General features: G+C 40.3%; 1 annotated feature.

Annotated features, from left to right (window-relative positions):
• Positions 3868-4390: an enhancer, noted in NCBI's record as "NANOG hESC enhancer chr11:101480606-101481128 (GRCh37/hg19 assembly coordinates)". NCBI's record gives its function as "activates a minimal SCP1, AML or CMV promoter by ChIP-STARR-seq in naive H9 embryonic stem cells {active_cell/tissue: H9 hESC(naive)}" and the evidence as "EXISTENCE:reporter gene assay evidence [ECO:0000049][PMID:30033119]".

A 13648-nucleotide genomic window follows, 5' to 3' on the forward strand; every position in this document is an offset into this window, starting at 1 on the left:
GCTCACCTACCATACGGTCAATCTGGGCCTGGTACTATCCAAACTGGGCAACAAACCTACTTTTTCTTAGTATCTACTATTGCCACAGAGCAAATTTGATAAGGTCAGGGGAACTTCATATTGGATTGCAGCAACGTGGTGCAGGTTTTCTTTGACTTGTCCAGTATCCAGAGAGGAAGATTACAATTACTTGATTCTTTATGCATAAAAGAACTACTTGGCTCTATTTTCCTCTGAAGAAAACAGTATAACTGGAAAGATTTGGGGGCTTCATGGGGTACCCAGCACCAGTGGTTCAGTGGTGAGGCCCCTGGGATACAGCAGAGAATATCTGGGTTCTTGTCCTGATTTTGTCACTATCTGATTCACTTGCCTGGCCCATTGTAGACCATAAAAATACTTTAAAATAAATGAATGGGTTATGTGACTTTGACTCTCTTCTAACATTTTCAGACTTCTTTATCTCCATTTCCAAAATGAAAATGTTAGATTATCTGATGTCTAAGATCCCTGAAACTCTAAAATTGCATGATCTAAGCTAAGAATGCCTTCTAGAGCTCTATCCTTACATTAAACCCTTTTGAGCAAAGTGAAATTGATAATTAACCAACTGTCAAATAAAAATTTTTAATGTATTTTTTATTACATGTGTACCACAAGCAGAGAACTCAGCTATCTAACCTGCCTTGATAACAAGTTCCCATTTTGCTGATACAGGACTCTCTCAAAAACTTTCTATCAAATTTTCATTCTGTAGCCTCCTATCCCAGGTTTTGTTTACTCTTTCTCTTAATGACTAAATTTTAGCATGAAAATATAGGTTCTCATTCCAAAGTGGAAAAGATGTAAGGATAGCCTTCACTGGCTCATGGGCAGGGATGGGTGTCTGGTGAGGAGAGTCCCCCATCAATGACCAAAAGTGATGGAGAAGAAGCTGCAAATCTGCTTTCAAGTCACCAGGGGCAACTATCCAGGGCAACTCAAACATCGCAAATGTTTTCTAACCCCATCCAGCCTTTCTGCATCACCCACAACTTCCTTGGGAGTTTAAAAATTACTTGACTCCAGCGCAATGTTCTCAACTGTTTATTGTTCTGCGTTCTTGTTGTTGTTGTTGTTCCCTGCCTTCATTCTTCCTGGGTTTGACCTAGAACCCCATCTTTCATCCAAAGAACCTAGAGTTCCAGGAGAGTAAAGGGCCAGGCATGAGCTACCTCAGCTCAGATCTGATCTGAGTGATTGTCACTACTGGCCTTTGGTTTGTTTTTTACACCTCGCTGCTTTCCTGCTGGTGAGGAAACAAGTCAGCACTATCTCACTCTCTTGCCATCCAGTCTTCACCATCAGGCACTTTAATACTGCATAGGACACACGTACATTTAAGAAGTATACAATTATGTAAATATGTTGAATATTGGATAAGTAGATATTAGACAAATCAGTACTTGATTGGTTATACTAATGTTTCTTCACTCTAAAAAAAAGAATTTTAAATAGAAATTTGGTGCTATGTATCAAAATTCATTTTCTTCAATTTTGTGTCAAAGTTCACATATTTACAAATTTTTCAGGAAGAAAGTTAAATGAATTTCCATACAGTGGTGGGGTCATGAATCAGTACCTTGTTTTATAATTATTTACAGGGGATATATGACATGTGGAAGGTCATAAACCCTGCACATCAGCTCTTTTCAATATGATTTGTTTTCCAGTGAGTCTTTGTGGTTCCATGGCCTGTTTTCTCAGTATGGATTTTGAACACTGCACACAGATGGATTCTGTTTAGAATCTAATGGGACTGAAAAAGTCCAGCAGTCAGATAACCCAGACAGTCTCAACTTCATTCTGTTTTAAGCTCTTAAATATATTTAGGTCTGCCTCTTCTCTCCCTGAAGCAGCAAAAATAAGCAAGGGTGACCTTTACTATTCTGCATAAACAGAACCTACTCTTTCCTTTGAGCCTCCCACTGAGGATTTATTGGACGTTCCACCACGGGTTCAATGATCCCTATTTCCTGGACTTACCTGCTCCCATACTCCTTGGCTTTCCTTTTCATATACATGGAATTAATACTTCAGGGAAGAATTTTGATTAATTTTTGTTTCTCTGAAATGAACATATTCTAAGTTGAGCTCTGATGACTACTAATGTAGATCTTAGGAAAAATTAGGAACTTATTCTCTGTATATTGGTAAGAGGACATTCTGAGAAAAGCATCATTAGGTGATGTCCTTGTACAAACATCATAGACTACACTCACACAAATCTAGATGGTATATCCTACTACACACCTAGGCTATATGGTATAGCCTGTGGTTCCTAGGCTACAAACGTGTATGCTATGTTACTGTACTGAATATTGTAGGCAACTGCAACACACTGGTTTGTGCATCTAAACATATTTAAACATAGAAAAGATACAGTAAAAACATGGCATTATAATCTTATGAGACCACCATTGTAGACACAGCCCCTTGCTCACTGAAAGGTCATTATGTTGCACATGACTGTAGTTTCTGCTCTGCACAATAGTAGAAAAAAGTGAATAGTGTTAAAATGGTTGAAGAGAAAGGAAGATGACTCCGAAATTTTAATACCATTTTATTCATGACTAAGAACCTACAAACAGTTCTGAAACAGTTTAACCTTTTCTATTCTTGTTCTCATGTCCTAAAATAAAGTTAAAATGTAACCACCGGGTCGTTGGTGGGGGTGGCTCACACCTGTAATCCCAGCACTTTGGGAGGCCAAAGTGGGTGGATCACGAGGTCGAGAGTTCGAGACCAGCCTGGCCAACATGGTGAAACCCCGTCTCTACTAAGAATACAAAAATTAGCTGGGCATGGTGGCACGTGCCTGTAATCCCAGCTACTTGGGAGGCTGAGGCAGGAGAATCACTTGAACCCAGGAGGCAGAGGTTGCAGTGAGCCAAGATCACGCCACTGCACTCCAGCCTGGGCAACAGAGCAAGACTCCGTCTTGAAAAAAAAAAAATGTAACCACCAATCATTGAGCAACTGTGATATATCAGGAACTATAATGTCCCAGACATTTTTAACACCAATATTTTTTAAAACTTGTCTGAGTTTGTCAGACGGTTACGCAATAGACCTGAGACTTCTAATGCAGAGCTTCTTGAGTTCAAAACCCATGATCTGGTGTACATGGCCACTCTGTATTTTGTTATCCCAGTCCAAGTAATGAGCTATGCAGGATGGGTGTGATCAGGGTTGTGAGGACTGAAACTCTCCCCAGTAGCAATGAGTGAATAGTGCAACGGGACATTTCATTAGGTTAGAGAGGTGAGTGGGGAGAAAGACAGCAAAGAGTCTAGTTTAGTAGAGTTAATGGAAGAAATTATTTCCATTCCTTATCCTGCCTTTACTCTCATGTCCTCAACTACTCATTGGGGCTTGGTTTTAGAGATTGCTTTTGGCTCCAAACACCTATTAAAGGAGATATATATTTTAGTGTTTCTGAATGCTTATTTGTGGTGAAATTTTTTTATTTTTATTTTTGCCAACGAATGTGGTGAAATTTTTAATGACCTCAGTTAAAAAGTAAAAATAATAACGCTATCTAGTGAATTCTGCATAAAGCTAAAAGTGCCACATTGGTGTAATAGCCTATATTCCAAAAGACATCTATTCTACTATCTTCAAAATCATTGCATTAAAAAATGTTAAAGGAAAAGTAAGTTTTAGCTTTTATTTTGTTTTGCTTTTTGAGGCTAGTTGGAAATACTCTTTGAAATCCTGTTTTTTTATCACAATTCTAACTGATGCAAGGTTGAGAGGGGAGGATTCAGGAAGATAAATCCAGCAGGTGTATATAGAAATGGAGAGACGAGACAGAAATACAGGAGTTGAAGAAATAGTTAAGAAATTATTGCAGTGATTTATCTTGGGTTCTAAAGCCTATAGGTATGGCGGCAATGAAAATAGAAGAGTTGGGATATAAGGCATATTTCAGAGGAAGAACCACAAGGACATTGTACCATAGGAAATAGAACAGAATGGGTGTTAAAGGCAGGTAATGATGATATGATTAGCTAAGCAGCTGGAATGCACCTAGCCAGTTGTCTTGAAATTAACCTCATAGCTTCTATTCAATGAGACTTCACATCACCATGAGAAAACTATGTGAAGTGCAGCCCCACTGAGAATAAGTAGTGTCCTAGCAGATTCGTAGCTGAGTGAAACCACTCCAGACTCATAGTAGGTAGCTAATAACTGTTATTCACTCCCAGCTACATGATTTTCTTTAACCCTCAGAACTCCCTGAATGTAGGTATGGGTAGTCTACCTTGCAAATGCAAAAGCTTATTTTCAGGGAAGCTAATTTCACATGACCCAAGACTGGTACAATGAAGATCTGAATACAGGTCAGACAGCATCAGAGAAGGCCCAAGAAGTCCGCCCTTCGTCAGAAGCATTACTTCAAGCCTCATTTGCATGACATTAGAGTAACAGAAGGGATAGAAATGGGACCCTTTTGCGGCCTCTTTAGTAAGAATATTCTGAAGTTAATTTAATGAGAGCAAATTGGCCAACATGAACTTGGCTCCTCCCATGTGCCAGGCAGTGTGCTAGGTCCAGGGCATAAGAAGATACTTAAGAAACATAATGCCCCAGAGGAGATCAGTGCCTGGCAACAAGTATGCAGAGACAACATTGTAGAGTAGTTTCCTGGGGTATGAATTCACCACTGCCAATTTGCTACATGGAAAGAAAGAGATCTTTCTGCATCATAATCTGCATAGATAGCTAGATTTATATTACACAAAGGCTTCAAATAAACTTCATTATGAGAGTTGAATTTTATGAGACTATAAATTTTCAAAGAAGCTGTATAAACATTTTGCAAATAATCTTTTAATTAAAAATGATGATTAATCAGGCCAGGTGAAGTGGCTCATGCCTGTAATCCCAGCACTTTGGGAGGCCGAGGTGAGTGGATAACTTGAGGTCAGGAGTTCGAGACCAGCCTGGACAACATAGTGAAACCCCATCTCTACTAAAAATACAAAAATTAGCCAGTCATGGTGGTGCATGCCTGTAATCCCAGCTATTTGGGAGGCTGAGGCAGGAGAATTGCTTGAACCCAAGAGGCAGAGGTTGCAGTAAGCCAAGATCACGCAACTATACTCCAGCCTGGGTGACAGAGTGAGACTCCATCTCAAAAAAAAAAAAAAAAAAAAAATGATTAATCTTGTTATATATGTTTTGAGTAAAATCAGGTGTATTTTAATTACAACTAAATCATGAAAACACTTGAAATGAGTCTCCTTTGCATTCATATATTATTCCCATGAAAAGTACAAGTTTTAGTTTCTTACTATCCAGATGGACTAGCAGGTAGAATTATTAAGAATAGCCATCACTTACATTTTAAATATTGAATGTAAAAGTATTTAAAAGCAGAAATGTTGGTCAAAGGGTACAAAATTTTAGTTAGGAGGAAAGTTCAGGAGATCTATTGTGAAACATGGTGAGTATATTTAATAACAATGTAATGAATTCTTGAAAATTGCTAAAAGAGTAGATTTTAAGTGTTTTCATCACCCCAAAAACTAATAATGTGTGTTAGGAAATCCATATGTTAATTAGCTCAGTTTAGCCATTTCACAGTGTATACATATTTCAAAACAACATATCGTATACAATAAATGTATACAATTTTTATTTAGCAATTAAGTAAATAAAATGTTTTTAAAAATAATCTGTTCTGCTCTCAGTGCAATCAGTGCTTGTAAGGCCCTGGCTTAGATATTATACTTATCTTGCTATTGCTCTTACTCAGAAATCCACAATGACTCCCTACTGTCTACCCCTTCAATCTGGTTTTCTTAAATATGACCACTTGCCACTTTGGGAGGCTGAGACGGGCAGATCACGAGTTCAGGGGATTGAGACGATCCTGGCTAACACAGTGAAACCCCGTCTCTACTAAAAATACAAAAAATTAGCCAGGCGTGGTGGCACACACCTGTAGTCCCAGCTACTTACTTGGGAGGCTGAGGCAGAAGAATCTCTTGAACCCAGGAGGTGGAGGTTGCAGTGAGCCAAGATCACACCACTGCACTCCAGCCTGGGCAACAAAGCAAGACTCCGTCTTGGAAAAAAAAAAAAAAAAAAGACCACTTGCTTTCTGGCCTAGGCCTACTCTCTCTAGAACCCCTACATGATCTCTCACCCTAGCCATGTCATGCGTCTCTCCAGCACAAATACCATACATCTGTGAACCTCTCTCCCACCCCACCCACCCTACACCCCACAATACACACGCATACCCAAGGCAAATGCTGTGCCAATGCTGGGCAGGCTTGTCCTTAAATCTTTTCCTTGTCCTCACCTTTGTGTGCCTGTACTGCAAGGGGAGCCAAGGAATAGTTGGTGGGGGACAATAAATCTTTTCAGCTGCTCTCCCTATTTCTGAATAAGCTGGATTCAGCTAATGAAAATTATCTCCTGAAGACTGCAGGTGGAGGAAGGAGGAGGAAAATGGAAAACAAAGTATCTCTCCCTCCCTCAGTGCCAAGGGCTTCTTCTCCAGCATTAGGGGCAGCTGCTCTGTGGCTCCTGCTACTACTGCACATGCCACTGTGGTTCCAACTTCCGATGGGTGACCCTGCTTATAACCCAGATCTTCCCCAGTCCCTCCAGCCTAAGGATGGTAGTGACTTCCTGCTGCTGCTAATCTCTGGGCTGCCTCCCTCACCTCCTGTGATCTTTGTAGATTTCCTACCACCTGTGTAACTAACTGTGAGCATTGCATTTCCTGTTTCAAATACTCAAAGTCTTTTCTGTTTACCCTATTGAACACTTACTGAAGCAGTGCTCAAAAAATGGGAGCTTTTCAGTGTGTGCCATACGTTCTATTTTCATCTTCTTATTTGATCCTCACAATAATCCAAAAGGATATGTTTTAAATTCCTATACTATAGGAAGGGAAAGTGATTTACCTTTCTAAGCCTCACAGTTACACAGGTAGTGAGAGAGCCCAGATTGGAACTAGGGTCTAATCATTTACTACTTGTATTCACTTATTTATTAATCTACTTGATTAGATCATACACTCTTTAGAGTATCCTTTTGCCTCCTCCATGCTGTTTGGCACAGCTGGAAACAGTATGGGTAGAGGCTCAGTAATATTGATTAACTAATTAATTTATTGTATAAGAAGTATTCAGCCACCAGACACATGTCTTTTAAGAGCAAGCTTTAACCATTTCAGTTGTTTGCTCCCATCCATTTTCTGTCATCCGACACAGGAAGACATCAAGGGAGAGGTAATTCACAGGAGTAAGGAGGCACCACCAGGGGCAGAAATGTTTGATCCTAAGAAAGTGTAGCCACAAGATTTATATCAAGTGGCAGAGCCTCAAGGTTTGAGGAAGAAAACAAAAGTTTGATTCAGGAGGGCAGAGCAGAGACAGAAATGGCAACTGGATGTCAGAGATATGCCCTGGATAATCTCTTTTTGAGATGAACCATGGAATACTCAAAATAGGGCTGAGTCCAAAGAAGCAGAGCTGGGTAGGAATGAGAGAGGAATGCAGGTGCCAGCCAGCTGTCTTGGATACAGTATGAGAGGCCTGATAGAGTCCAAGGACCTAGCAGAGAGAGAGAACTCCTGGAACCCAAAACACTGGATAGACTGGACTCCATGAAGTGGCCATTTGTTAGTGTTGCTGAAACTCACGCTGAAGAACTTAATTTTTCTCTATATTTTAGCCCTTGGGTATGAAGCTATACAGGAGCCTTTCCAACCACTGGTGAGGGTGATATTCCCAGCTCAGCCTCGTTGCATTATGAAGACAGTTTGCATATGGCAGCTGGCTGGTAGCTAGGCCTGTGGGTGGGAGCTGAAAGAATCCACTCTGCTGGGAACTATTTGAACTACAAGATTTCCTTTCCTTTTCAGAAAAATGTGGTAGTTTTACCAGGGATTTCACAGTTATTGGTATCCATTTAATTGGCACAAAATAGGGGGTTTGGCCGGGGAGATTGTTGGGGATGTTGAAACTTATCTTCTAACTTCTTCTTTCCAAGAGTCCTTTATTATTTCCCAGCCTAGCATTGCCTTCTCCCCGATTTCTTCTTCCCATGGAGAAAAGTCACCCTTCCCTATTTAAGAAAGGGAAAACTTACAGGAACTGGTCTCACAGAGACAAGTTAGGAAACAATTTAAAGGAGAGAGAGATAAATAGAATCAAATTCAGCATCAAAGTTTTATAAGCGGTAGTCCCATTCAATTTGGTAAAAGATGAGTTATTGGAAAACTCTGTCAGATTTAAAGTCTGTAACAGCAGAAATCAGATTAAAGTGAATAATAAAAAGTGTAAAAACCATGTATATGCTCTTTTGCAAAGAATCTTGGCTGAAAGAATAGAGAGGGACGTAACATATTTGAGGACACATGGATTAGTGGTGGAACATAGTTACGGCGGGATGACATGAGCCTAGGTGGATTATGATACTTAAGGAAGAACAGTTTTTTGATAAAGGAGGTAAGAGAGTAAGGATGTGTTCAATGAAGAGCTCAATAGGTTGGTGAAGGGTAGTGGGGAAAGTACATGACTAGGTTTCCTCCAACTATTTGTCCAGTGAAATTATATCTTTTAAGTTTCTTATTAGTTCAAACACAGATTATAAGAAGAGCATTTATGCATGTCAAAATTCCATTTCCTCTCAGATCCATTTCTTATCCTTTCTTTCCTATGCCCTGAATCATAGGAAGCTACATTGCCTAGGCCATTTCTTTTGGTCTGGCGGTAAGTTTGGGTACTTGGTGGCAATCATGGAAGATGGGGGGACAGGAGGAAGGGAGCAACCAGGGTAATTCTTTCCCTCCCTCTTTCTGTCTGCTTCCTATGGTGTCTGGCAGCAGTTACACTTTCACCATGGCTCACAATCTGACCAAGCTGGGTTCCCAGCACCCACCCAGGTACCCACTCTTCTTCTAGCACCTTCTACACAGCCCTGGTGTCCAAGGTCGGGCATCACCCCGTTGTCTTACTGTTGCTGCTAAATCTCTAGGTTGCTCACCACCTCGTATTTGCTTGTCATCCTTTCTATCCCAGTTCCACCATTTCTTGTATCAAATTAACTGTATTTGAAAGAGCTAGAGTGATTTCTCTTTTCCCACCTGGACCCTGACTGATAAAGCAACTGTCCCTCCAAATCATTTATATAACCACATAGAAGGTGTGATTCCAGCAGATTTGCCTCAATCATATGTCTTCTTTCTGAGAAACATACTCAACTACAGCCAAAGTTTTCCAAAATACAGACCACTGACTATGATAATATATCCTTTTTCATAATTAGTATTAATGACTAATGGTTTTAACCTAGTAGACTAGCTTTTTTCCTAATTTTTTTAAAGTTTTATTTTATTTTTAATTGATACATACTAATTACATATATTTATGAGATACAGTGTGCTGTTTCAATGTGTCTATTTTTCAGTCATTAAATATAATTAACCAGTCATTCCACAGAAGAGTATAGAGCACTACTTTTAAATAGATCTCTAATCTATAAATATAGAAGTCTGTAGTTTATTTTTATTTCCACTGTTCTAAATGTTTCAAAAAGAAATATCCTCATGTCTGTAGCATATTAACCGACACACACATAAAAATAAGAATATTCTTTATATTATTACATAATAAGGAACTGTGATATTTGTCTTTTAGAAGCTAGTGTAAGAATTCCTCACACAGCAGGTTATCCTCCATTGAGAAACTGCTTATAAGTTTCTTGAGATGGAAAATAAGTCCTCCAAAAATGACTGGCAATTTCAAATTCCTGGAGGAAGATCTAGGGGAAAGGGAGCTAGCATCAATGAGGTGCCAGTGATTCTACTTTAAGAAAAATGCTCCTCTGTAGCCCAGCATCCTTGGCTAAAAAAAAACTTGAACAAACAAAAATCTATTGTCATGTCTTTTCTTCCAAAATTTTGGCTGTGGAACGTGTGAGAAGAATTCCTCTGTCTCCTCTATGATGTCTTCAGAAAATTTTATGTATTTGACTCATGCTTTCATGCAAGTGAATTCAAAGAGGCTGATAGAAGAAAGTTGGTAAATGAGGCAATGGTTTTTAAGAGAAAAATGTGTCTAACTGAGCCTCCATGTATGTATTGAGCACTTTGTACTCTTCTGAATTTGAAGATACAGAACACTGCATAAGTGGAAGACTTCACTCATTCAGCCACATGATCATCTCCTGTCCTGGGATGTGGTATGAACATATGTGCACTGAGCATGTTCAATGTTCACACACTGCTAGAGTTGGAAAATGACTAACTTGGACTAAAATATTCAGATGAATTTTGAATTTTATGGCATAAAGTTTTATTGCACTACTGAGCTTCAGTCTGGTTCACACAGATCTGAGGAATCAGGAAGTGGGAGCAAGGTCACAAAAAAGGGATGATGGCAAATGTTGGTATCAGTCACTTTCCATGACCTGCCTCAGGCAAAAAAAAAAAAAAAAAAAAGACTACATTTCTTTTTGGAAGAGCACATTCTCTTGTAATTTTATAGGAAATCACATGCCGATCTTAGTGTCCAAGATTCCCTTCCATGGCAGGCAAGCAGGTCTCTAACTACGTTTATTTCTTTCATCTAAAATGGGCATGCTCTGAGTGTGAGAGTGTGCCTATATGCATGGGGAAGCAGCACCTTCTGAGAAAATGCGACTGGATGTAGCCCTTTTCTGTGAAGGCTCAGAGACATAATTGGGTCAATGCCTCAAGGTGGTCAGATCCTGGGAACCAGGCTCATGCTTACTAAAATGCACAAAAGAACTGGTGTTAGCCGTGGAAAAAACAACTGTCACAGCAATAAAAGACGTAGAACAAGCACATTCTTCTCCTGTGGTAAGCAACATGGGAAGCTGTTGAGAAACCATGAAAAGTGCCTGCCTCACAGCCCAGAAATATCTGAAAGCCTTAATGTCCACTCACCTCTCCCTGTAGGCAGACCTAGGAGTGATTTGAGATGTTCCTTTGCGAACCTTGACTTACAGCAAGGGGACTGAAGTCTCTTTCTCAGAAAGCTTTTTCCCTGCCCTGCACTCTGCAAGGCAGCAGCTCCATCATGCAATGAAACTTACTTGGGCTCATAAGCACTGACATGCTGATGAAGCTAAAACTTGTCCTATAGTGTCTCATCCCGACAGAGGGTACTCATTTATGGGTATTTCACAAGTACGCCACACTTTGTGGGGGCTTTTGAGTAACAAATATTGCTCTTTAATCACATTCTTCAGATTACAACATATTTGCGATTGTGTTTTCCCCTTCATATTGGCTCCACTGCTTCTCATGAAACAAATCCCAGTTCAACTTGGATATTTGGATCATAAAGTGTCTCACACTGAGGGGTGATTTTTTTTAACGCTATCTGTCTGGCAAAGGCTTGCAGACTTGCCCTGCCTTTCTAGTTATCTTCTTGGAAATCTTTGGCTTTTGAATCACCTTTTGTGCTTTCAGGTTAACGAAGTAATTGAAGTATAATTGTTCCCATTTTATGAATGAGGGAAATGAGGTATAGAATGCTTTCCTGCTAAAGCTGCAAGATGGCAAAGCTGGTTTCTAGTGTGTGAATCAAACCAGGAGCTCTCTTCAGTACCTGGCACTGCCTTTGTTGCAGGATTTTTCCTTAGTTCAGCTGAAGACAGGGTCCTTGTCCATCGCATGGCCATGAAAATTTAGGCTCATAGACAGTTTGAAGGGTGAGTAAAGCAGGGTTTTATTGGGTGAAAAGGAAGAAAAGGGGGAAACAGAGACTCTCCACAAGGCCAGGGTCCCGTTAGAGTGCTTCCCTCCAGCAGTTTGAATTCCAGGTTCCACACACCGTAAGAGGAGGGGCCAGGCTCCTCCCAGCTGCAGACGGGGCAAACTTCCCAAGGATCCACCTCAGTGAGCATTCCTCCCAGCGCGCAGGCCAGTAGGAGTTTGCCAGGGACCCACTCCCATCTGACTGGCTCATCTTCATCAATGCCTGAGCCCTCAGTACTCTGGAAATGTATGTAACATTTCCTCTCCTTCTGTCTTAGCAATAGATCTTCCAGGATGAGTAATGGCAAGATGTGCAGAACTACCCACAGCTCCTACTAATTCAGAAGGAAGTAATTTGAGAATGAATCATAGAGAAAATTTTCAAATGCCTTCTTACAGGTATTAAACATTCAGTTACATGATACAATTAACTGCTGCCATCATATCACATGGTAAACTAGTTTGAATAGGGACTTTCTGTGCCACGTTACAGGCCATACAGTAGCATTTTTAGGTCATGGAGTATGAAGACATATGTTGAAATCCCAACTCAGCCACTTAATGGCTTTTTTACCTTGAGAAAGTGACTTAAACTCCCTAAGCTTTAATTTCTCCAGCTGTAATTACTGTATGACAAATGTCAGTACATCAAGCATTTTGTGAGGTTTAAATGAGATAATGTGTAGAAAACTCAGCATGATTGTAGAAGAATAAGTACTAAATATAGAAGTAGTGATACTAGTAATAGTAATCTTTGGAGGACACTAACATATTATTACAAATGTGTTTCATAAATTATCTCATTGTATCATTGTATTATCACCATCTTACAGATGAGAAAACAGAAACTTACAGAACTTTAATCACCTGCCCAAGACCAGGTTAAGTGCCAGAGATGACACTCACATGTCCTCAGATTCTAAATTCTCTCTGCTTTCCCTTATAACAAGTGGCCCCAATGGGAAATGTGTTCAGTATTGGTCATGGTGTGGTTGATGAGGTCAGCTTATTGTTGGAGGGCTCAGGAAGGTCCCCAGATGCTAGTGAAACCCTAGCCCCAGCCAGTATCCAGGTTCTTGACACCATCACAAGAAAGGATTTGGGAATGAGTCAGAATGATGCGAAAGACAAGAAGCTTGTATTGTGAAGAGAAAGTACACACGTAAGAGAGAAGTGCAGGCATGCTCATGAGAACAAGTCACACACAAAGGAATTTTCTATTCTAATGTGCTCCTCTCAATTAGGGGGTGGAATAATCATGAGGTTTTCTAGGAAAAAAAGGTGGTGATTTCTTAGAATTGGGGTGGCACCTATTTTTATGGGCTTGCTCGGATCTGTTGTGGTGCTGGTGGGTGTGTAATTTAGTATGGTAATGAGCATATAATTAGGTCTGGATAGGGCATGGGTCAAATCCACCACCATGTTGGACTTAGCCAGTTTCAACCAGGTTATCCCATATCCTTTCTGTTAGGGTCTTATCAGCCTAGGCTCATCCTTGTCATTGAAGCTAATTTTTTTTTTTTTTTTTTTTTTAGATGGACTCTTGCTGTGTCACCAGGCTGGAGTGCAGTGGCGTGATCTCGGCTTACTGCAACCTCTGCCTCCCGGCTCCAGCAATTCTCAAGCCTCAGCCTCCCAAGTAGCTGGGATTATGGGTGCACACCATCATGACCAGCTAATTTTTTTGTATTTTTAGTAGAGACAAGGTTTCACCATGTTGGCCAGGATGGTCTTGATCTCTTGACCTCGTGAAATGCCCACCTTGGTCTCTCAAAGTGCTGGGATTACAGGCCCAACGCACCCAGCCTGTAGCTAATTTTAACAGCTCCTTTCTTGCTGCCATATGAAATTGCTGCT

This window comes from Homo sapiens, chromosome 11 (assembly GCF_000001405.40).
Source record: "Homo sapiens chromosome 11, GRCh38.p14 Primary Assembly".
Taxonomy (NCBI): Eukaryota; Metazoa; Chordata; class Mammalia; order Primates; family Hominidae; genus Homo; species Homo sapiens.